General features: G+C 44.1%; 1 long non-coding RNA gene and 1 pseudogene across 2 annotated transcripts; one reads left to right on the top strand and one right to left on the bottom strand.

Moving 5' to 3' along the window:
* Window positions 1-21: 21 nt before the first annotated feature.
* LOC105371120 (uncharacterized) lies at window positions 22-7,521 on the top strand. Of its 2 annotated transcripts, XR_002957897.2 has the most exons (4): window positions 22-2,047; window positions 2,803-2,921; window positions 6,526-6,688; window positions 7,328-7,521. It is a non-coding gene; the product is annotated as an uncharacterized LOC105371120 (long non-coding RNA). The 2 variants fall into 2 exon arrangements; XR_950899.3 differs by lacking the exons at window positions 6,526-6,688; window positions 7,328-7,521 and adding an exon at window positions 3,545-4,099 and having other exon boundaries at window positions 30-2,047.
* Window positions 7,522-8,497: 976 nt separating this feature from the next.
* Window positions 8,498-18,461, bottom strand: LOC112267906 (acyl-coenzyme A synthetase ACSM5, mitochondrial-like; annotated as a pseudogene).
* Between the last annotated feature and the right edge of the window lie 5,992 nt (window positions 18,462-24,453).

Below are 24,453 nucleotides of genomic sequence, written 5' to 3' on the forward strand. Positions count from 1 at the left end.
AGGTGAAAGGGAGCTGGCGTGTGCATGGATGACATGGTGAGAGAGGAAGCAAGAGAGATAGTGGGGAGATGCCAGGCTCTTTGCAACAACCAGCTCTTGTGGGGAATAATAGGATTAGGACTCACTCACTCCCTAGGGAGGGCATTAATTTATTCATGAGGGATTCTCCCTCATGACTCAAATACCTCCTGTAAGGTTCCATCTCAAATTTCAATATGAGTTTTATTGAGAGCAAACATCCAAACTGGAGCACCTCAGAACACTTTTCTCCTTGGAAATGTCTGTCCTTATCAAGTAGTCAACAAATATTGACTGAGTGTTACTCTCAGGTAGACACAGAGGTGACCATGACAGATTCATTCCTGTTCAGAAGTGACACAGATAATAACATGTAAAGTAATGAAGTTCATTTTATATACTGTAAAGGATAAGTCAGAGGTCAGATCATGTCACACCTCTGCTCACAACCTACCGGTGAATCTCAGTTTCATGCAAAATTAACTTCAGAGTTTTTACCTCATTATTCAAGGTCTGGTAAGATTTTCACACACTCTCTTCATCTCTGGTTTGATGTCCTGTTCCTTTACCCCCTTATTCACTGCATGTCAACTACAAGGGCTTTCTTCCTGTTCCTTGAAGTCACACTCTGCCTTTAGGGTATCTGCACTTGCTGTTTCCTCTTCTCAGACTGATTTTTCATAGATATCTACATGGATAACTCCCTCTCCTACTTTATTTCCTTGCTAAATATTTTTGTCAACTTCTCAATGAAGCTTACCTTGACCACCTTCTCAAAACGGCAACCCACCTCCAAGTTGGTTCTTCCTCCTCCTCATTACTAGGCACTATTGTCTCTAATACTCACTACCTGCTAACATACTTACTTACTATTTTTGCCTCTCTCTCCTTCCATTAGAATCTAAGCTTCATGAGGGCAGATATTTTTGCTCATTTTGTTCAATGATTTAGCTCAAGGACTTTTAACGGTAGCTAGCACACAGTAAACATTCAGTAAATAGCTGAGAGAATGAATAAGGGCTGTAAAGAAAAGAAAACATGTTGTTATAATGTGTGTGCCTGTGTGAAGTACATAGCTGTGTATGTGAGATAGCCTAAGTGCATGCATGTATGTTTTTGTGTGTGCACATGTGACTGTGGGATGTATGTATAGCTGTTATGTGTGTGCGGTTCTGTGTGTAAAGACATGTGTGTAAGGTTGTGCATGTTTGTGCCCATGTGTGCCTATGTGTCAGTACATGGATGTATGTGAGACTGTGTATGTGTACATGTGTGCAAGTGTGTGTAGAGCTGTATGCGCAGGTGTACAGGTGTTTATGTATACTTACATGCATGCATGTGTGTTGGTAGATGTGGATGTGTGTGAATGTATGTGTGAGACTGTGTATGTAACTATGTGTGTGACTGTCATGTATATGTAGCTCTGTAGTTAAGTGTATGTCTATGTATCTGTTTATGAGTTTGGCATGTGCATAAGATTGTAAGTGTAACTGTGTGTATTCATGTGTGTGAGTGTCTAGAAGTGTGACTAGATATTTGTGTGTGCTTGCATGTGTGAGTGTCTATGTGTGGCAGTGAAACTGCAGATGTGTGTGGCTGTATCTATATTTGTGTGTGTGTGCATGTGTCTGAGTGTGTGTAAGTCCTAAATAGCACTCACACTATTTACAGTGGTCTGAAAACACCTCTCTGGGTGCTCCTTTGCACCTGGCCACTGGGGACACTGCCAAGTCATGATGCTGGACTTTGCTGACTTTCTTTTCCATTCTTTCTGTTTTTCAAATGTTGACCTTTAGACACATTTCAGGACAGCACATTCCTGTGGGAAATCTGTGAGGTGGAAAATCAAAATTCTCCTGATGACTGTTTATAAAGAATAACGGCTAGCTCATGTCTTCAGTGTTTTATAGAAGTGCTCACATGTAATCTAAACAAGAACTCTACAAGAGAGGTATCCAGAGCCACATTTTATAGATAAGGAAATTGAGGCTCAGAGAGGACTAGAAATTTGGCTAAGCTCCTGCAGCTGGTAAGTGCTACAACAGGACTCAAATCTAACTTCAAAGTCCAGTGTCCTTCTCATAGGGAACACCGTGTTTCGGCAAAGAGCCATTTTAAAAGAAAATGGTTTGAAATGGTCACTGTTGGAGGCTGTGCACAATCAGCTGGCCACCTTTGTGTCCCTAGAATCTGACCCACAGTGGGGATTCAATGTTGGGGGAAAATAGAAAAAGTGCTGGAGTTGCTGGGGAAATGCTGGGAGCAGAACTCCGTGGTGGGGGCTCAGAATTTCCCAGGGCAGGGGGTTTTCAGTCAGGAATCATCGCGGGAAAAACAGATTTTCTTTATCACATTCCACCTCTGATTGTCTCAGGAAGTCTTTGGTGGTCTGGCTGGATGGAGCCAAGGTTTTGGAGGCAGCCTGGAGCAAGAGACAATGCCTGAGAATTGCCATCAGAGGACCCATTTTAAATCTCGGCTGTACCACTTACCAAAAGAACACACACACTGACCCACTGTGCCTCAGTTTCCTCCTGTACAAAATGGAGATAAAAATAGCATCTATCTGGTAGGGTCATGGTAAAGCCTGAGTAAGACAATTCTGGAGGCTTCTCAGTTGTCCGGCTGCCAGAGGGGTGGGATGCTGCTCCCCTAAGACTCTTAGATGTGGAGAACAATGCAAAGTGCTAGACTTCTGCAAAGCCTTATGTTTGATCTGAAAAACCTGCTCAAAAGTATCCATGTGCTTCAGGAGATAACTTTGTCTCTGCTTCTCACTTTCAGAGTTGGGGGCTGCATCTGACAAGTGGCCGTGGTTTCAAGTCTCTGGAGTCCCATTTTTTTCTCTTCCATGGAGTTTGTTTGCTGCAGTTTGAGGAGCCGAGGCATATGATAAATACCAGGTACATAATTAGTGCTTTGGAAAGAAACTGCTATTTCAATGGTTATTAGGAGCTTTCACGAGGCAACTCACCCAGAGACCCCTTGCATGAAGGTGGGAAACTCACCAGTCTTCTGGGGTGCAGAATCTTAATGTCCCCTCCAGAAAATGGGGCTGTAGACTGAGTAATAGTAACTAGGAATAACATTTATTGGTTGGGCGCAGTGACTCACACCTGTAATCCCAGCACTTTGGGAGGCCAAGGTGAGTGAATCATCTGAGGTCAGGAGTTCGAGACCAGCCTGGCCAACATAGTGAAACCCCTTCTCTACTAAAAAAAATTTAAAAATTAACTGGGTGTGGTGGTGGGCACCTGTAATCCCAGCTACTCAGGAACCTGAGGCAGGAGAATCGCTTGAACCTGGGAGGTGGAGGTTGCAGTGAGCTGAGACAGCGCCATTGCACTCCAGCCTGGGGGACAAGAGGGAAACTCAATCTCAAAAAAAAAAAACAAACAACAAAAAAAACAAACAACAACAAAAACACATTTATTGAGAGAGCATTTAGTGTGCCACAAACTGTGCAGGTGTTTCGTTCAACCACCTCTATAACCCTAGCAGTTATCTATTATTATCCCCAATTCAGCATGTGGAAACTGAGGCTCAGACAGTTCAAGTCAGCCACCCAAGGAGGTAAGTGGCACCACAAAACCTGAACCCAGGTCTGGTTCACATCACGTCTAGCTCTTAAGCACTCTGCCGATGCCCCAACACCTACATCCTCAGTGTCTGAATTGAAAAATATGAGAAAATGAGAAACAAATGCAGGTTTTGGTGGTATCGGGCCTGGCATTCGAATCCCAGCTCTGCCACTTACAGCTGTGCAAGTTTGGATGAGTGACTCCATCTTTCTGAGCCTCAGATCTCTCTTCTGTAAAATGGGGATCACCAGGCGATTGTTTCTGTCTCAGGGCCTTTGAACCTGCTCTTCTGTCTCTGGGACAGTGTCCTCCCCGACCCCCACATCTGCACAGCTCGCTCCCTCACCTTTCGGTTTGCTCAAACGTGGTCCTCGCAAACCCCTTCCTGGCTACCCTATTTAAAATCCTGCACCACCATTCCGTAGTCCCTATTCACTACTTGTACTTTATTTTCCTCCTTAGCACTGACACTGTCCGACATACTCTAATTTTTAAAATTAGATTTGTGCAAAAGTAATTGCGGTTTTTACCATCAAAAGGAATGGCAAAAACCGCAATTGCTTTTGTACCAACCTAATAGTTCTTTGTTTGTTATCCCTCTTTTCACAAGGTTGCCATTTCCAGAAGTCAGGGGTTTCTGTCTCTTTCATTCACTGCTGTATCCTCAGTGCCTAGAACTGTGCTGGGTACAGAGTAGGAATAGAATCATTTTTTGCTAAATGAAGGGATGAATGAAAGATACCTACTTTATTGCTTTTTGCGGGGCTTAAATGAGATAATGTCTAGTAAGCCCACACTGAAGTTCAACAGTTAAGAAAGAGCTCAACCAGTGGTAGTGGTTTACTATCATCATCATCACCACCACCACCCTCATAATCCTCTTCATTACTGGAAGTGTATAAGGTGAGCTGTGGATTCTCAGGCAGAAACCCTGAAATGAAAGGATCAGTGTTCCCATCTTGGCATATCTTGGACTTCCTTGATTCTCTCCTTACCTTAAAGATGTTGCTTGTGAGGCTGGACACGGTGGCTCACGCCTGTAATCCCAGCACTTTGGGAAGCCTAGGTGGGTGGATCACTTGAGATCAGGAGTTTGAGACCAGTCTGGCCAACATGGTGAAACCCCATCTCTACTAAAAATAAAAAAATTAGCTGGGCATGGTGGCGCATGCCTGTAGTCCCAGCTACTCGGGAGGCTGAGGCAGGAGAATCACTTGAACCCGGGAGGAGGAGGTTGCAGTGAGCCGAGACCATGTCACTTCACTCCAACCTGAGTGACAGAGTGAGACTCCCTCTAAAAAGAAAAAAACCAAAAGTTGTTGCTGTGATTTACCACATTGCACAATAGGAGGTTGGGCCCTTTCTAGCTAAGGATTATTTATCAAAACCAAGATAAAAACTGAAACAAGAAAAATAAAATAAAATTAATAGCTAACATACAAGCGTCATTACCCAATAAAAGCTGACACCACCTCAAATTCTGATGGACATAGTGGATTGGAAGAAGTATGAACTTTGAGAGAAAATCTTTCCAAACATGATGGCAGAATGATAGAAAGGAGTCCACAGCAATGGAAAGGCTGGGGAAAGTAGGTCTAGTATTACACTCCAGCCCCCAATATAGAGATGTGGAAAAAGAGGCCTAGAGAGGGAAAGTCACCTGCCTGTGTACAAGATAGAACTGTTAGGTTTCTATTAAGAATTTTTCAGCACTCAAGAAAATAAACAGATATATTCATTTGGAAAGAAAAAAGAGGTGAACGGTCTTCAGGTGTAATTCTTGCTTGACGCCTCTTCAGCTGCTTATTCCCCTCAATTAGTATCTTATTTTTCATTCATTCATTCATTCATTCATTCATTCAATGACTATTTACTGATACCTACTAGGCAGCAGGTCCTGATATTGGCACTGGGAAGACGGACAAGACTATCATCTAGCCTATGATCTAGAAGAGTCCACAATCTACTAGGAAAGACAGGCAAAACAAACCTAAAATAATAAGCAATAGCAATGAGCTATGACACCCATGAAAGAGAATGTTAAATGGGACTTCCTCTGTTGTCTCAGAATCTTGGCTGAAGCTCCAAGTGGAGACCAGGGTAACAGATAACCACCGTTTAATGAGAGGGTGTTACATGACATGCTCAGAAGTAATCCCAACTTGACTTTGGAGCTTCACTCACCTCCAGCCTGTGTATGACAAAAGGCTGCTGATAAAGCCAGCAGGTGGGCTTGATGGAAGGGAATTGTAACTGCTCAGTGGGTTCGCCTTGCCCACTGCCTAGACAGAGCCGATTTATGAAGTCTCATTCTGTCACCTAGGCTGGAGTGCAGTGGCGTGATCTCAGCTCACTGCAATCTCTGCCTCCCGGGTTCAAGCAATTCTCTTGCCTCAGCCTCCCGAGCAGCTGGAATTACAGGTGCACACCACCACACCCGGCTAATTTTTGTATTTTTAGTAGAGACGAGGTTTCACCATGTTGGCCAGGCAGGTCTCGAACTCCTGACCTCTGGTGATCCACCCGCCTCAGCCTCCCAAAGTGCTGGGATTACAGACATCAGCCACTGCACCTAGTCCAGGGACTTTCTTATAGAAGCCTCCCTGATACCCTCAGTCCCCTGAGTCTTGATTAGTCCCCCCAGTCTATGTCTTAAATGTATCCTTTTCTTCATGGCATTACAATTGTACATTTATTTGCATTATTCTGTGATAAATAATAATGACCTTCCTACTAGACTAAACTCCACAAGGATTTGGGCTGAAATGTGTTTCCCCAAATTCTTATGTTGAAGTCCTAACCCCAGATACCCCAGTTCCTCCCAGTACCTCAGATTGTGACTGTCTTTGGAGACAAGGTTTTTAAAGAGGTGATTAAGTTAAAGTGAGGTCATGAGGGTGGGCCCTAATCCAATCTGACATGATAGGTGTCCTTAGAAGAAGAGGAGATTGGGCCCCAGACACACATGCACAGAAGAAAGACCATGTGAAGACAGAGGGAGAAGTCAGAGATCTACAAACCAAGGAAACATCCTCAGAATGAAACCAACCTTGCCAATCCCTGATCCTAGACCTCCAGCCTCCACAACGGTGAGGACATTAATTTCTGTTGTTTAAATGGCCCAGTCTGTTGTACTGTGTTATGGCAGCCCCAGAAAACTCACATAGGTAGGGACTAGGCTGGCTTTGGTGTATCACTGCAGTCTCAGAGCTCAGTACTGAGTAGGTGCTCACTGAATTTTCCCTGGAGGGTGTGGAGGTGCTGGGGGTGGGGTCAGCAGCACTGGGATTGCTTCAGTTTCCATCTGCTGCTTTTCCTCCAGGGTTGCTCCCAGAACCACCCTTTCCTGTTTGCAGGCCTGAGCTGTGGCTGCACGTCTTTATGCCCCTCCTGGATAAGACATTGTGACGGTTAATGTTAGGTGTCAACTTGACTGGGTTAAGAGTCCCCAGATAGCTGTGAACATTACTTCTGGGTGTCTCTGGGAGGTGTTTCCAGGTGATATTAGAGATAGAGCCATAGACTAAGAAAATCTGCCCTCACCCACGTGGGCAGGCATCATCCAATCCATTAGGGCATGAAGAGGAGAAAAAGGAGAAAAGAGGAATTTGCTCCTTCCTTTTGGGCTAGAACATCTGTGTTTTCTTGTCCTCAGGCGGTGAAGCTCCTGGTTCTCGATACTTTGCACTCGGACAGGGAGTTATAACATTGGCTCTTCTGGTTTTCAGGCCTTTGGACTCAGATGGAATTATACCACGGGGTTTCCTGGATCTCCAGCATGCAGATGGTAGATTGTGGAACTTCTCAGCCTCCAAAATCGAGTGAGCCAATTCCCATCATAAATCCCCTCTCCTATGTCTATATATGTCCTATTGCTTCTCCTTCTCTGGAGAATGCTGACTAATACAGACATAATACAGCAGTCTTTGGGGTTGATGTATGAGTATGTGGAGGAAGAACTAGACATGAAGCAGAGTATGCTTTCTTTAACATAACTTTTTCATTAAAATAGTTATATGTGCTTAGTACAAAAACTTGGAAAATACAGAAATGTAGTGAAAAAGGAAGAAGAAAAACTACCATGCATTATTTTCTCTCCCTCCCTCCTCAATCTCCAGGAAAATTACAATTAACTACAGTTTTCCCTTTATTTTTCAGAGTTGGGATTCTCCAGTATGCAAATATTTTTATTCTGATTTTTAAAATTAATATAGCTTACACTTTTCCCAAGACATACTAAACTGCTCTCAAATATTTTAGTGGCCACATCATATGTTATTGAGTTAATCTACTACAATTTTGTTAATCATTTCCTTGTTGTTTGGATGTTAATTGTTAATTTTTTTTTTTTTTTTAGTTTTAATGCTGTGTGATCATCTTAGTGCACCACACATTTTCTGCATTTTGATTTTTTCTTTTGTGGTGACTCCCAAAGGTAGAATTTCTGAGCTAAAGGATATTTTATTTTACGTTCCTGCATATTTTTACCAAATGGTTGCATACAAAGGATGAAAGCTTTACATTCCCACTGGCAGAGAATGAGTACCCACAAGTGCCCCAAGTCTATGGTAACCTGTCCTGTGGAGGGAAATCTGAAAGCTCTTAGTGAGACCAGTGGGCAGATGCTGAGCCTGCCCCCAGACAGAGGGAGAAGTCGAACCACCAAGCATTTGCTAGGCGGCGCAGCATCTATGTGGTCAGGGCCAGTGATATTCTTTTGCTCTTTCCGGCATTGCCCAGTGATCCTGGGGATGCCATTTGGAAGCTGCACACCTTTGACATCTTTAGGGTTGAAGAGATGATGCTCCCCATGGGGGCTGACCAGTGATCCATTAGTTTCTCGTGGACTCTTAGGAGGTCTACGGGGCCTTCCTGGGGTTGCACCTCATTTCCCCCACTCCTGACTTCGCAATTTACTCCTTTGGATCTTTCCAGAAACCGTCTTTGGCAGTTCTGAAACAAAGGCCACCTAGTGACCAAACACAAAACAAAAAACACTTGGAAATCATCATTTCTCAAAAAGACTTTTGTTTTGAAAGAGACAATACTGTCTGCCTGTCCTTGGAAAGCGTCCCTGATTCAGGGTTTCCCCCTAAATGGCCAGAAGCAAAACAGCTGGAGCCTGGAGCACAGGATCATTTTGACAGCATTTGAGCACTACCTCTTGTATCTGATTTGTGGTAGGGATCAGGCTGTTCTTAGAGCAGGAACAAAATGTGCTTTGAGGAGAACCCAAGTGAAGAAATACAGAAAAAAGCTGAAGCAGCAGCCAGGGTTACAAGTTTCTCCATATCCCCAGTGCCTGGCACAGGGCCTGGCTCTGAGTGGGAGCCCAGGCAGAGCGTGCCCATCTGATTGCCAGATCACTGTGCCCTGGAAACCCTGATGTTTACCTTCCTGGGGTATTTGTATGGAGCAGTCACCCTTTTCACATGCTCCTGGAGTTCCCGCATTAGTGCCTCTGGGTCATGAGAGGAGTAGGCTGGAGTAAGGACTATAAATGCCTTTACCACCTGCAGGAAAACAAAATACCCAGAAAAGATCAGGCCTCGTATAACAACTCTTTTCTCCTTAAGTGAGCCTTGAATAAGTGCCTACATTTACCTTTGCACCATGAAAGTTCTACTAGTTTTTTTTGGGCACAGCCAGTGACACAAACAACATCAATTTTTCTTTTGCTGGCCCTTCCAGGTGTGACTATTAGGAGGATTGACCTTTCTGGGATGATTTCAAACTCCTACCTATTTCTCAAATTACTCCCCATACTTGGAATGACACCATTTGAAGCCAACATCGCTTCTCTTAAGAAGCAAATATTTTGGAGAAAAGAGGTTCATAAATTCCTAGGGCCATTTTCTTCCAGATTTTCCTAATGAGAAAGGTAGGTAGGCATGAGTTTGAACAGGTGGGATTGAGGAAAATGCAGGCACTTGCAAGGGGAACTAGGTCTTTGGGGGTCTGCGTGGATGAACATTTGCAATCAGCAGACCCTGAACTGCACCACTTCTGTTCCAGACATCCCGAGGGACACTCTGCACCTTGGGTCTCTCTGCCCACAACTTTCCTGCAGGCTGTCTTATGCCAGGCAGGAGGAAGTGTCCCAGACTCAAGCACAACAAACATAGTTTCTGTTAGGAATGGAAGGTCACTTGGATGCTTATTAATTCCAGCATTCCTATCTGTTAACAGTATTCTATTAAAGGGGTAGCTCACTGTCCTTGCATACTTCCCACAGGGAGGAAGGCCACTATCATTTCATGTTCAGACAGATATGCTTTTAGAAAGAGCTTCCTCTTACTCTTACTACTGTAACTACGAAACATTTGTTGGACACTTTTTTTTTTTTTTTGAGACAGAGTCTCACCCTGTCGCCCAGGCTGGAGCTCAGTGAGGTGATCTCGGCTTACTGCAAGCTCTGCCTCCTGGGTTCACGCCATTCTCCTGCCTCAGCCTCCTGAGTAGCTGGGACTATAGGCGCCCACCGCCACGCCAGGCTAATTTTTAGTATTTTTAGTAGAGATGGGGTTTCACCGTGTTAGCCAGGATGGCCTCGATCTCCTGACCTCGTGATCCACCCGCCTCGGCCTCCCAAAGTGCTGGGATTACAGACGTGAGCCACCGTGTCCGGCTTATGTGTTGGGCACTTTCTACACACCAGACTCAGTTCTAAGCACTATACATGGATTAAGTTTGAGCACACAGCCATTTGTCACAGTCCCAGTTAACTCACGGCATGCAGAACTAGGCATACGTTTGAGGTAGATTTCTTCAGCACATCAATGGGACTCCACACCTCCCTTATTATACATTAATGGCTTTGGATTTTAGAGGGGAATCACTTGGCCAAGAATGGCTGGCTAAAATGCAGATTCTCTGGGCTGCATTCCCAGTCATCATGATTTGGTAAGTCTGACTTTAGGTCTACAAATCTATATTTTAAACAAGAATCTCTCAGATGATACAGTTGCAAGCAGCCCACGAACCAGACTTTGAGAATCTCTCCTGCGGTCCTGGTGCTTCTGAGAATGCAGGCTGATGTTGCACTAACTTTCAAAAGGTAACCGTTGTGCTTTAGGATTATGTTGGATGTAAGCCAGTGAAAAGTACCTAAGTCTGCCTGGAACCTGATCTTTCCCATAATATGCATTCTTCTGGGACCCACAGAAAGACCTCCTGGCCGGGCACGGTGACTCACACCTGTAATCCCAGCACTTTGGGAGGCCGGGGTGGGTGGATCACCTGAGGTCAGGAGTTTAAGACCTCCAGCCTGGCCAACAAGGCAAAACCCTGTCTCTACTAAAAATACAAAAATTAGCCAGGTGTGGTGACATGTGCCTGTAATCCCAGCTACTGGTGGGGGGGGCGCTGAGGCAGGAAGATCAGAAGATCACTTGAACCTGGGAGGCGGAGGTTGCAGTGAGCCAAGATCATGCCACTGCACTTCAGCCTGGACAACACAGCAAGACTCCATCTCAAAAAAAAAAAAGGATTTCTCCTATGAAAGCCCAGCTTATTAAATTTGGCCCATCTTTCTGGTATATGTAGGTCATTTTGGATACATATTCTATCCCTCTTAGGTTACAGCCATCAGCAACTATTACTGGTGTGCTTGCTATGTCCTCATCTGCAAATAGAAAAGACTTTTTATTAGACAGGATGGATAACAGAGCCTGCACCTCCCCCTAAGATCTCCTGCCCCATAGCCAGCCTCTCTGGGATGTAGTTGTGTCCATTTAAAAGCAAAGTGTTGGTGTTTTCCCATTATGTCCCTTTAGAGAGTAATCGTATCTCTAAAGACATGAAGGCAACGTGTGTCTGATGGTGGCATTTCAACTTTGTGGCACATGGATGGAGGTGAAATACAGGACAATCTGAGCCTTCCTGCTTGTTCTGCTGGGTGCTAATAGGTACAGAAGCAGGAGGCCATGTTCTTGGGTGCACTGGTTACCTCTCCCCTGATGGGGTCTGGGCTGCTGACCACAGCCGACTCCAGGACAGCAGGATGCTCTGCCAGGGCACTTTCTACTTCAACAGGCCCGATCTGGTAGCTGGAAGGGAAAAACAAACTCTTCCAAGTGGGCTTCCGTCAACCCCCATGAAACTTCAAAGGGAGGAGGAAAGTGCAGACAGCTTGACCTTGAAGAATTGATCACATCGTCGTTTCTTCCCATGAACCAAAAGTAGCCTTCCTTGTCCATGCGAGCTCGCTCCCCTGTGATATAAAAGCCCCCTTGTTCTGATGCAGCTGTCTTCTCAGGATTGTCCTGAAAGACAAAGACAACCCGTGAAGGACCCTCTGGGAACAACCGCTAAGGCCAGTTACTGCCCCAGTAGCCCCCTGTAGGAAGCTGGAGACCACTCAACAGAAAGTTCAGCAGTTCCTAAAGTCCCAGCTGCCCAGAGTTCCCCAATGGACAGGGAGCTATGGCCCTGTTTAGTTGTGGGATTTCCCTCTTTTGATTGGAATCAAGCTGCCAGCCAATGGTTAAGGGCAGCCACCCACCACCATCCTTAGAAGGGGGTCTAGAAAGCATAGTTGAAAGCAGGAGGGTGGGCACAGGGCCACTGGCTGTGGTTTTTAGGACAAGAGAACACATGAATACTCTTTGTGCTCAGGAATCACTGAGGGTAGAAAGTGAAGGGCTAGGCCGGGTGTGGTGGCTCATGCCTGTAATCCCAGCACTGTGGGAGGCTGAGGTGGGTGGATCACTTGAGGTTTGGAATTTGAGACCAGCTGGCCAATATAGTGAAACCCTGTCTCTATTAAAGATAAACAAATTAGCTGGGTGTGGTGGTGCATGCCTGTAATCCCAGCTACTTGGGAGGCTGAGGCAAGAGAATTGCTTAAACCTGAGAGAAAGCTGTGAAGAAAAGAAAGCCCGACATAAACACCAGCCAAGATGAATACAAAAGGAAGCAGTTACTGAATTATCCCAGAAACTTGGACTGAAATCCCAGGTTTGTGCCCTGCTAGCAAACCACAAAAAGAATCCTGAAGACAGCTCTGACACAATAGTGCAGTTTGACTTTTATGTATTTATTTATTTTATTATTATTATTATTATTATTATTATTATTATTATTATTATTATTATTTGAGACAGAGTCTCCTTCTCTTGCCCAGGCTGGAGTGCGGTGGCATGATCTTGGCTCACTGCAACCTCCTCCTCCCCGGTTCAAGCGATTCTCCTGCCTCAGCTTCCCAAGTAGCTGGGAATAGAGGCGTGTGCCACCATGCCTGGCTGATTTTTGTATTTTTGGTAGAAACGGGGTTTCACTATGCTGACCAGGCTGGTGTTGAACTCCTGACCTCAGGTGATCCACCTTCCTCGGCCTCCCAAAGTGCTGGGATTACAGGTGTGAGCCACCGCAACCGGCTGCAGTTTGACCTTCAGAAGCTCCTTTCCTTTACTGCGCCTCGATTTTCTCCTCATTAAAACAACGGTGCTGCCCTCATGTCATATGTTTACGCTTTCAGACACACCCACGTTTAAATCCCATGTCCTGCCTGTACTAGTTGCATGATGCTGGATAAGTCACTTCCCCTTTGTAGTAGCTTCCTTATTAATAATAGTCTTCCTTATCAATAACAGAACTTTATTAATAATAGTAGCAACCTACCTCATGCAGTCATTGTAAGGATTAAACAAATAGATACTTACAAAGTGTGGTGCACAATGCTTAGCACACAGTCACCGTCATGAGAACAGCTGTTCCCCGTCTCTTACCAAATAGCAATTGAAGAAACAGAAGGGCCGGGTGGTTCTGATACGACGGCAACATTCCCCTCTTCTCCAGGAGGCAGGACATTGCCCTCATCATCCACAATCTGGTAAGGAGATCATCACAGAGGTGCATACATGAGTGTCTACACCCTGGGCCCCTCCAGCAGCCCAGCAGCCCAGCAGCCCGTGCCAGCCAGGCCTGTGTGTCTTTCTCCTCTCCACGCCAGGCCTTGCCAGAAGTTGGGGGAGTCTGCTACCTGCACATTGTAGGGTGGGGACACCTTCCCCATGGATCCAGACTTGATTTTCATGCCTTTTGGATTGGCACAGATGACAACCTGGGGAGAACTCAGTACAGATAAAGAAGAGCCTTTCCACTTAGCTTCTTTCCTGGGCCATGCCTTTCTCTCACCCTGCCTGATAACTCTTTCTCTCATCCTCTTTTTTCTCCTCCCTCACTTTCTTCTTTCTTTCCCTTCTCCTCTCTCCATTTCTCTCCATTCTTCCTCCCTTCTTTCTTTTCTTTTTTCTTCCTTGCTCACTCCTTCCTTTCCTCTTTCTTTCCTTTCTTTCCCCTTTCCTGTTTTCTTCCTTCCCTCCTTCATTTTCTTTCCTCCTTCTTTTTTCATTCCTTAACCCGTTATTTCATTCTCCATTTTCCTCTCTCCTCCCTTCTTCTTTGTTCCCTATTTCCTTCCTTCCTTTCATCTTTTTCCTCTTCCTTCCTTCTTTTCCTTTCTCTTTCCTTTATTTCCTCTTTCCCTTCCTTCTTCATTTTCTTCCCTCTTTCTTGCCTGTCTTTCTTCTTTTCTTTCCATAGTTAGCAAACAACTATGGGGCACTCCAGTGGGCACTCAAACATAAAGAACTTAACCCATCTCTAAGCCAAAAGACTCAGTTGATCCCCAGATCTCTTCCTAGATGACTATAGAGGACGCTGCTTAGAATCTTGGACTCTGAACAGTGGCAGATGTAGACTGTCTTGGTGGAGACAAACAATGCCTTCAGCAGTGAGGGCTGGTTTGCTGGTCATGGTATAATTGTAAAAGTACTTTAAATTACCTTTTTTTAATTTATAAGTAGTGTGTGTGTGTGTGTGTGTGTGTGTGTGTGTGTGTATTTCAATAGCTTTTTGGGTACGAGCGTTTTATGTAACATGGATGAATTCTATACTGGTGAATCCTGAGATATTAGTGCATCTGTCACCTGAGTAGTGTACATTATACCCAATATGTAGTTTTTTTACCCTCACGCCCCTCCTCCCACCTTCCTCCTTCTGAGTCTCCAAAGTCTTTTATACCACTCTGTATGTCTTTGCATCCTCATAGCTTAGCTCCCACTTATAAGTGAGAACATATGGAAATCAAAAGGGAAGGAAAGCTGATGGAATTTTGTTATCGGCTTCTCCCCTGGGGGAAGGGTGGTCCCTGAGAAGCTTCAGAGAGGTGACAGCTGGAGAGGCAGGAAGCTCTCAAGCGGACCTGGGGGGTGGGGACCTGGGGGGTAGGGACCTGGCCCCTCCAGCACTCACCGTTTCAGACTGGCCATAGCCTTCGTACAGCTCCACACCGGTCTGGCGTTTCCACTTCTCCCTCACGTCAGGGTTGAGGGCCTCTCCTCCGGTCAGACAGTGCCTCAGGCTCTGAAACTGGTACCTTCCTCAGGCAGGAAAACAAGGCCACCTATGTCAGGATCTTCATACCACCCCGCCCTCTGGTGCCACTGCCCAGATGCAAACACCACAGGCACTAGAGGTAGATGCCCCTGCTTTTTAATCTTCTCTAAGTGAGTCCACCCACTGGCTTTGCAACCATGCTCCTCATGGACAGATAATTTTTAAAAGATCCATCCCATCTGAGTTTGAGATAAAATCAGAAGCTCATATAATAGGTTTTGGCATAATATGGTGAGTTCCAGGTAACTTGGCCAAAATAATTTAGTTGGAAAAAAACTGATAATAAATTGGTTAGGACAGTAATCTGATTGAAAAGGATAGATCAATTAGAAATTGAAAAGATAGGCCAGGCACCATGGCTCACACCTGTAGTCCCAGCACTTTGGGAGGCCTAGGTGGGCAGATTGCATGATCTCAGGAGTTGAAGACCAGCCTGGTCAACGTGGTAAAACCCCGTCTCTACCAAAAAGTACTAAAACTTAGCCAGGTATGGTGGCACATGCCTGTAGTCCCAGCTACTTGGAAGGTTGAGGTGGGAGGAAAGCTGGAACCTGGGAGGCGGATGTTGCAGTAAGCCGAGATCATGCCACTGCACTCCAGCCTGGGCAACAGAGCAAGACTCTGTCTCTAAAATAAATAAATAAATAAAAATAAAAGAAAAAGGAAAAGAAAGGAAAGAAAAGAAAATTGAAAAGATAAAAATTAGACCCCTAAGAATCCCAAAAATTCCTACAGATATTAATTATGTTGCAAAATGCCCTCTCTGTTCAACAAATCATCCAAACTATTAAAAAAAAATCAGTGATTGTAAGTACATTTTTAATCTTGGAGGAGAGGGGAGATCAAATTGGCTTGATTAAGTTACTTATTATTACCAAAGAGCATTCAACGACATTGTTCTTAACGAGGTACTTGGAGCTTGCTTTCAGCCAAAATCATCATGTGGAGATGCACACATCAGATCAATGAATGGGATGATTTTCTTACATTGGAGAAGAATTCACTTTTAGAAACATGTAAGAACTCCCTCTTTTGGACACTTGGTGGGTAGATTCATGTGATTAGGAAAGAAGAAAGGACGACTCCTCATGACTTGGGGGAGGACAAAAGAGGGAGAACAGATCAGGGTTGGTGGATACTGAAGGATGGTGGGCCTCTCTCCATATACCCCAGCAACTAGCCCTGTTCTGCTAGAAGATGTTGCTTTGGCTTCACCCAGGATGGAGCCATCATCAGTGCCTTGTCCCTTTCTCTTGGGTGTCCAATGACATGTGCTCAGAGAACAGTTGGCTGGGGTTACTCTGAGGCTGAGAGTTGGGGCATCTACTGTGGTGCGGGCTTGTTAGTTTCACCACACCTGAGGGCCCTGGCCACAAACCGCACTCCATAGGTGGCTAACAATTGTCCAATCATTTCTCTTCCCTCACAGAAGTAGCAGACACACTGCTGACAGAATAGCCCATGGGTGTATGGTGTGAGGAGAAGCCTATCTCAGGTGCTAAAATTTCAGTCTGCCTTAAATCTATTTAGTTCCATCTGGATGCAAATTTTGGGGGGCCAGAAGCTTGTTCTTGAGGGGCATCTGTGAGATTTACAGGTATGTTGACTTGTCAATGTGTATGTGTATAAATGTGTGTGGGAGAGAGAGACAAAGAGAGAGGCAGAAAAATATATAGAGGGGGAGACAGAGAAAGAAAGAGAGTTGGAATGAGAGGGTAGTTGTGTGTGTGGATACCCATGCTATATATTCACATACTTAGGCCCTCAAAGCACGAAATAGATGGGCTGTACCTGGTCAGATCCTCCTGCACAAGCAGCCGAAAGATGGTTGGAACACAGCAGAGGGTGGTTATTGGGAATGTGGAGAGAGTCTAAACAAAAACAAAGGGTGAAAGATGTCCTTAGAATCACTGGGGTGGGGCCATGAAGATGGAGCCAAATGCATCTTTATAGTCTCAGTACCAAAGCAGAGAAGCTGAAAACTATGTGTGGAATCCAGCAGCCAACATGGTGTCCAGTGACCCCTACTTCCTGGCATGTTCAACTTTGGAGGATCCCCTCTCACCTCATACCAAAGTGGGTCTGTGACAGCAGTGGTATACTGCCAAGGTGATGAATACCACTTTCAAGATTTGGTTATACAAAGACTATGGCTTCTGTTTTGGATGTTCTTTCTCTCTCCCTTTCTTGGATCCCCTGTTCTGGCGGAAGCAAGCCACCATGTTTTGAGTATGCTCAAGCCATCCTACGGACAGGTGCACACAGTGAGAAACTGGAGACTAGCAAACACCCAGTGAGAAATTGAAGTCTACTAAAAACCACCAGTGAGGTTTTTGTTTTGTTTTTTGTTTGGTTTTTTGAGATGGAGTCTCACTCTGTCACCCAGGCTGGAGTGCAGTGGCAAGATCTCAGCTCACTGCAAACTCTGCCTCCCGGGTTCAAGCAATTCTCTGCCTCAGACCCCTGAGTAGCTGGGATTACAGGTGCCCACCACCAGGCCCAGCTAATTTTTGTATTTTTAGTAGAAACGGGGTTTCACCATCCTGGCCAGGCTGGTCTTTAACTCCTGACCTCATGATTCACCCGCCTTGGCCTCCCAAAGTGCTGGGATTACAGGTATGAACCACTGTGCCTGGCCACCAGTGAACTTTTAAGCAATTTTCCAGCTTCAGTCAATCCTTAAGATGATTGCAGTCCTAGCAAATATCTTCTTTAAAATTATTGTGGCAAAATACACACAACATAGGATTTGCCCATTGGAACGGTTTTTAAGTGTATAGTCCAGTGGGATTAAACATTTCCAGAGTGTTGTGCAACCATCGCTACCATCCACCTCCAGAACTATTTTTATCTTCTCAAACTTAAACTCTGTACCCATTACACAATAATTTCCCATTAATCTCTCCCCTAACTCCTGGTAAACACCACTGTACTTTCTGTCTCTATAAATTTGACTACTCTTGGTATCTCATGTAAGCGGAATCATACAGTATTTGTTCTTGTATGACTGGCATGTTTCACTTAGCATAATGTCCTCAAGGGTTATCCACGTTATATCATACAACAAGATGTCCTTCCTTTTTAAGGCTAGGTAATATTCCATTGTACATATACACCACATTTTGTTTATTCATTCATCTGTGGATGGACACTTGTGTTGCTTTCACCTTTTAGTTATTGTTAATGCTGCTATGAACATGAGCATACCTTGCTGACCTCTTGATTGCAACCTCATGAGAGACCCTGCTCCCAAAACCCCTCATTAAGCTACCTCCAGCTTCCTGACCATCAGAAAGTGTGAGATAAATGCTTGTGTTTTATAGTGCTAAGTTTCAGTATAATTTATTACATAGCAATAGATAATGAAAACACTATATCAGAGCTGGGGACAGTGCAAGGAGAAGGTCCATACATTGGCTGATCAAGCACTACATGGATAAAGATGGTGATGAGTTTGATCATGATGATAATAATCAATATGGGTTAAGAATCTACTATATTTGGTCCACCATGCGATACCAGCTTACTCCTGCAAGAATGGCCATAATCAAAATATCAAAAAATAATAGATGTTGGCATGGATGCAGTGAACAAGCAACACTTCTACATTGCTGGTAGGAATGTAAACTAGTACAACCACTGTGGAAAACAGTGTGGAGATTCCTTAAAGAACTAAAAGTAGAACTACCATTTGATCCAGCAATCCCACTACTGAGTATCTACCCAGAAGAAAAGAAGTCATATGAAAAAGACACTTGCACATACATGTTTATAGCAGCACAGTTTGCAATTGCAAAAATGTGGAACCAACCCAAATGCCCATAAATCAACAAGTGGACAAAGAAAGTGTGGTATATAAATATATATAATGCAATGCAACTCGGCCATAAAAAGGAATGAATTAATGGCATTCGCAGGGACCTGGATGAGATTGTAGACTATTATTCTAAGTAAAGCAACTCAGAAATGGAAAACCAAACATTTTATGTTCTCCCTCATAAGTGGGAGCTAAGCTATGAGGATGCAAAGGTGTAAGAATGACACAATGGACTTTGGGGACTTGGGGGAAATTGTGGGAAGGGGTGAGGGATAAAAGACCTCAAGTTGGGTGCAGTGTATACTGCTCAGGTGATGAGTGCACCAAAATCTTACAAATCACCACTAAAGAACTTACTCATGTAATCAAACACCACCTGTTCCCCAATAACCTATGAAAATAATTTTTTTAAAAAAAGAATCTACTATGTTTTGAAGCAACCTAAGTGTCCATCAACAGATGAATGGATAAAGAAAATGTACATATACACAATGGATCCATAAAAAAAAATGAGGTCTTGTTTTTTGCAATAACATGGGTGGAACTGGATATCATCATGTTAAGTGAAATAAGCCAGGCACAGAAAGACTAACTTCACATATTCTCACTTATTTGTGAGATTTAAAAGTCAAAACAATTGTACTCATGGAAATAGAGATTAGAAGGATGATTACCAGAGGCTGGGAAGGGTAGTCGGGGGCTGGGAGAAAGGTGGGGATGGTTAGTTGGTACCAAAATAATAGAATGAATGAATAAGACCTGTTATTTTAAAGCACATCAGGGTGACTATAGTCAATAAAAACTTAATTGTACATTTTAAAATAACTGAAAGAGTGTAGATTGTAACACAAAAGATAAATGCTTTGAGGGGATGGATACCCTATTCTCTATGATGTGATTTTCACGCATTGCATGCCTACATCAAAACACCACATGTACCCCATAAATATATACACCTACTATGTATCCACAAAAGTTAAAAATTATTTCAAAAAATAACCTATGATGTGCTGGCCCCTTTGCCTTGTATCATTTCATTCACTCAGCAACTCTATAGAGATATGTTATCCCTTTCTTACAGATGAGGCTGAAACTGCAGCTCAGGAGATTAGGCAACTTCCCCAAGGCCACACAGCTAGCGAATCAAAGGTGTAGGTTCAGAGTCCAGGTCTGACTCTTTGACTGATGGCACAGCCTGTGCAGTTAGCTACCATGTGATACAGCTTATCTCAGTACAAATAATAAGAGCAGAAGGAACCTCTGATGTTTTAAGGAATGACAGTTAGGATGTGGGGGGCAGAAGAAAGGTGACCTGTGTCTTGACTGGGGCCACCAATCTCCTCCCTCCCCATGAGAAGACCCTGGGAGGCTGAGCAGGAGTCACCAGGACTCTCTAGTTGGGCCAGCTACTCAGGTTAAGCACCATGGACAGTAGCACTTGGAGTTGAGGCGTAGACTGATTTTGCCTAAGGGTTTGACAAATACCTAGGGTTTTGGCAGGAGCATTGGGAAGAAAGTGGTGGAGACAAGGGCACCCCATGCAGGAGAAATAGCAACGAAATAGTCTTACATCTAAGAATCTAGCTAGAGCATAGGCAATGATTGAAGGGAACCAAGTGGTCACGAACCAGATTACGGAAGGCCAGGGAGCCACACCAAAGAAGCCTTAAATTCACTGATTTATATGTTTTCTCCTGCAGCCTGAAATTCTATATCCCACTCATCTCATTTGTACCCAACACATATGGGGTATTACTGGTTTTTCCTCTTACATTCAGGATAAATTTGGCATCAACTCGGGACAGCTCATGCACAAAAATGCAAGATCCATTAGGCCAGGCAGAGAAGACAGTCCAGGCTGCCTTCACCCAGCCAGTGTCTGTCGTGTTCCAGAAGACGTCCGATTCGGTCAAGGCCAACCACCATCTGCCAAAAATTAGAGAATGTCAGTACCCTTGGCAATGACTCTACCTTTAAAAAGGATTGTATTATCTATATCACCACATTTGGAGCCCTGCTCAGTGGGTACTCACTTATACTTGTGAAACCTGAACAAGAACCTTCAAGTCAACTATTGTCTCAACCAGCATTTATTGAGCATCTTCCATGTACCTATGCCCTAGGCTAAGAATACAGAAGCAAAAAGAGTTTCCAGAAAGTTCACAGTCCAGTGGATGTGATATATAAGGGAAAAAAATTAACCTCAATACTCTGTGCTAAGGTCACTTTATTTAGCCAACATTTATTTAGCATTTAGTCTGGACTTAGCACTAGGGATCTAGAAATGAACGATTAGTCTTACTTTGAGGGCCTTATAGTTTAGGAAGTATAAATATCTAGGAAGCCCCTGGAGAGCATGTTTTAATAGAGCTAAACACAAAGCCTTGTGCAATTGTAGAGAATAGGCACCTAACCCAGAGCAATGATGGACATGGGTTTCTGAGAAATGCTGTGGTGGAGGAGGTGACACTTGAGTTAGACATAAACAATATATAGGGATTATATAGGTGAGGTAGAGAAGCAGGAGCATCCCAGGAATGGGAAACTGTGTCTGCAAACATGGAAGACAGAAAAGCGGTCATGCACTTGAATCCTGGGACACACGCACTACTCATTCTCCCCCTTTCATTGGCTGTTCCCTTCTCAGTCTCCTCTGCTGAGTCCTCCTGGTCTTCCCCTTCAGTGCAGAAATGCCTCAGGCACTTGGTCCTGAGACCCATTGTCTTTTCAGTTTATATTGCACTTTGCTGATCTCATCCCATCTCATGGTATTAAATACCATCTTTACACTGATAAGTTCAGCATGAATCTTTCTCATTAACTTCAGACATGTGTATCCAAATGCCCACTCAACATCTCCACTTTTAACAAGGGGATGGAGATGTCTAAGAAGACTCTTGAATTAACAACTCCATAAACAAACTCTGTTTTCCTCCCACCAGACAGCTCATCCCACAGTTCTTCCCCAATCATTTAGTGCTTCCAGTTGTTCAGGCCATTCCTCTTAGAGCTCTCCTTGACTCCTCCTTCTCATTCCACACTGATTCTGTCAGCAAGTCTTATTGGGTCTAGGTTGAAAATACATTCAGAATCTCATCTCTTCCCTCACTACAGCTCCCGGGGCAAGCTACCATGCTTGCCTCTTAATGCACTGGTCATCTTTTTTACCTGTTTCCCCTACAGTTTCATTGTCAACCCAACATCCTGAGTGAGCCTTTAAAAAACATATTAGATTATGTCACTCCTCTGCTCAAAATATCCAACACTTCTCAAAAATAATTAAACATAGAATTACCATATGATCCAGCAATTTCATTTCTGCGTGTATACCCAAAAGAAGTGAAAGCAGAGACTCTAACAGATACTCACATGCCATTGTTTATAGCAACATTATTGACAATAGCCAAAATGTGGAAGCTACCCAAGTGTCTATCAACAGGTGAATGGATTATTTAAAATGTGGTCACGGCCAGGTGCAGTGGCTCATGCCTGTAATTCCAGCACTTTGAGAGGCTGAGGCGGGAGGATCACGAGGTCAGGAGTTCAAGACCAGCCTGGCCAACATGGTGAAACCCGATCTCTACTGAAAATACAAAAATTAGCCAGGTGTGGTGGCGGGCACCTGTAATCCCAGCTATCTGGGAGGCTAAGGCAAGAGAATCGCTTGAAACCAGAAGGCAGAGGTTGCAGTGAGCGGAGATCGCACCACTGCACACCAGCCTGGGTAAAAGAGCAAAACTCTGTCTCAAAAAAATAAAAATAAAAATAAAAATAAAATAAATAAAATGTGGTCTATCCATACAATGGAATATTTTTCAGTCTTAAAAGGGAAGGAAATTTTGACACATGCTATGACATGGATGAACCTTGAGGACATTATGCTAAGTGAAAGAAGCCAAATTGCAAAACAGAAGGACAGACTGCATGATGCCAATCACACGAAATACCTATAGTATCAAATTCACAGTGATTGAAAGTAAAATAGAGGTTACCAGGGGTGAGGGGAGAGGGTAATGGGGTGTTATTGGGTAATGGGGGCATAGTTCTCATTTGGAAAGATAAAGTAAATTCTGGAAATGGATGGTGATCATGGTTGCACAACAATGTGAATGTATTTAATGACATTAAACTGTACACTTAAAATGGTTAAAAGGGTACATTTATGATATATGTATATATATGTTTATGTGTATGTATATATATGTATACATACACATATTTATATGTGTATGTGTATATATGTGTGTGTGTGTGTGTGTGTGTGTATATATATATATATATATATATATATATAGCACGATTTAACAAGAAACCTCCCGTGGCTTTTCACCTCGCTCAGAGTAAAATCCAGAACCATCAAGATCCTTCCTAAGCTGCTCCTATTGGCTTCTCAGTAATTCTGCTGGCTCTCTGACCTCAGTTCCTGACACCTTTCCCCTCACACCACCCCCTCCAGACCACTCCCCACTTTCTGTTCTTGGATGCTCTAGACAAGCTGCTCTGGTACCTTCCGCTGGCCACAAAACCCAGTCCGTAGCTGCTCTGGGAGTGCTCGACCATCTCGGGGTCCCCGGTGGTTCCGCTGGTGAAGTAGATAGCCAGTGGGTCTTGACACTTTGTCCTCACGCAGTTGTGCTCTGTAGATGCCTCCCTGTAAAACGTAAAAACACTAGGTGGCACTACCACGGTAAAAACAGTTAGTAGCACCAATAATATGTATAACAACAATATGACTACCGTTTCATAAATACCACATGCGAGGTGCTGTGCTGAAAGCTCTGGCTTGGGTAATCTGCAACCACCTCAAGGGGCAGGTACTATCATTATAACCCTTTTGCAGACCAGGAGACTGAGGCTCAAAATGGTTACATAACTCACTCAAAAGAGCCCATGCTTTCTTACCAAGGTATGAGGACTTTCTGGTAGAACACACACACGTCCATGTCTATAATTCTGCACATTTAGGCACAGCTTCCACCCCCATCCCAATTTCTAATAATTTAGAACTCTTTTCTAAAGGTTTCCCCCAATATGGGGTTTTGAGATCTAGGTAATTCCCAAAGTTCTGTGATCTGGATGATCAGCTAATCCACGGGCTCTCATCCCTGGCTGCACTGTGAAGTCCCCTGGTAAATTTTTGGAAGAAACTTGTCTGTATCCACCCTGAACAAAATAAAATCAGAATCTTTGATGTTTTCTTAAATGCTTCTCAGTAATTCTAGTAACAGCCAAAATTGAGAACCACTGATCTAGGCCCACCTGACAGCTCTCAAAATCATATGAGCTGATTTTTTTTTTTCTTTTGAGATGGTGTTTCGCTCTTGTTGCCCAGGCTGGAGTGCAATGGCGTGATCTTGGTTCACTGCAACCTCTGCCTCCCGGGTTCAAGTGATTCTCCTGCCTCGGCCTCCCAAATAGCTGGGATTATAGGCATGTGCCACTACATCCAGCTAATTTTGTATTTTTAGTAGAGACGGGGTTTCTCCATGTTGGTCAGGCTGGTCTCAAACTCCTGACCTCGGGTGATCTGCCTGCCTCAGCCTCCAAAAGTGCTGGGATTACAGGCGTGAGCCATGGCGCCTGGCCCTATGGGCTGATTTTTTAAAAAAGATCCCCAGGGCTCTTGCTCAGCTATGT

The sequence above is a fragment of the Homo sapiens genome, chromosome 16, assembly GCF_000001405.40.
Source record: "Homo sapiens chromosome 16, GRCh38.p14 Primary Assembly".
Lineage (NCBI taxonomy): Eukaryota > Metazoa > Chordata > Mammalia > Primates > Hominidae > Homo > Homo sapiens.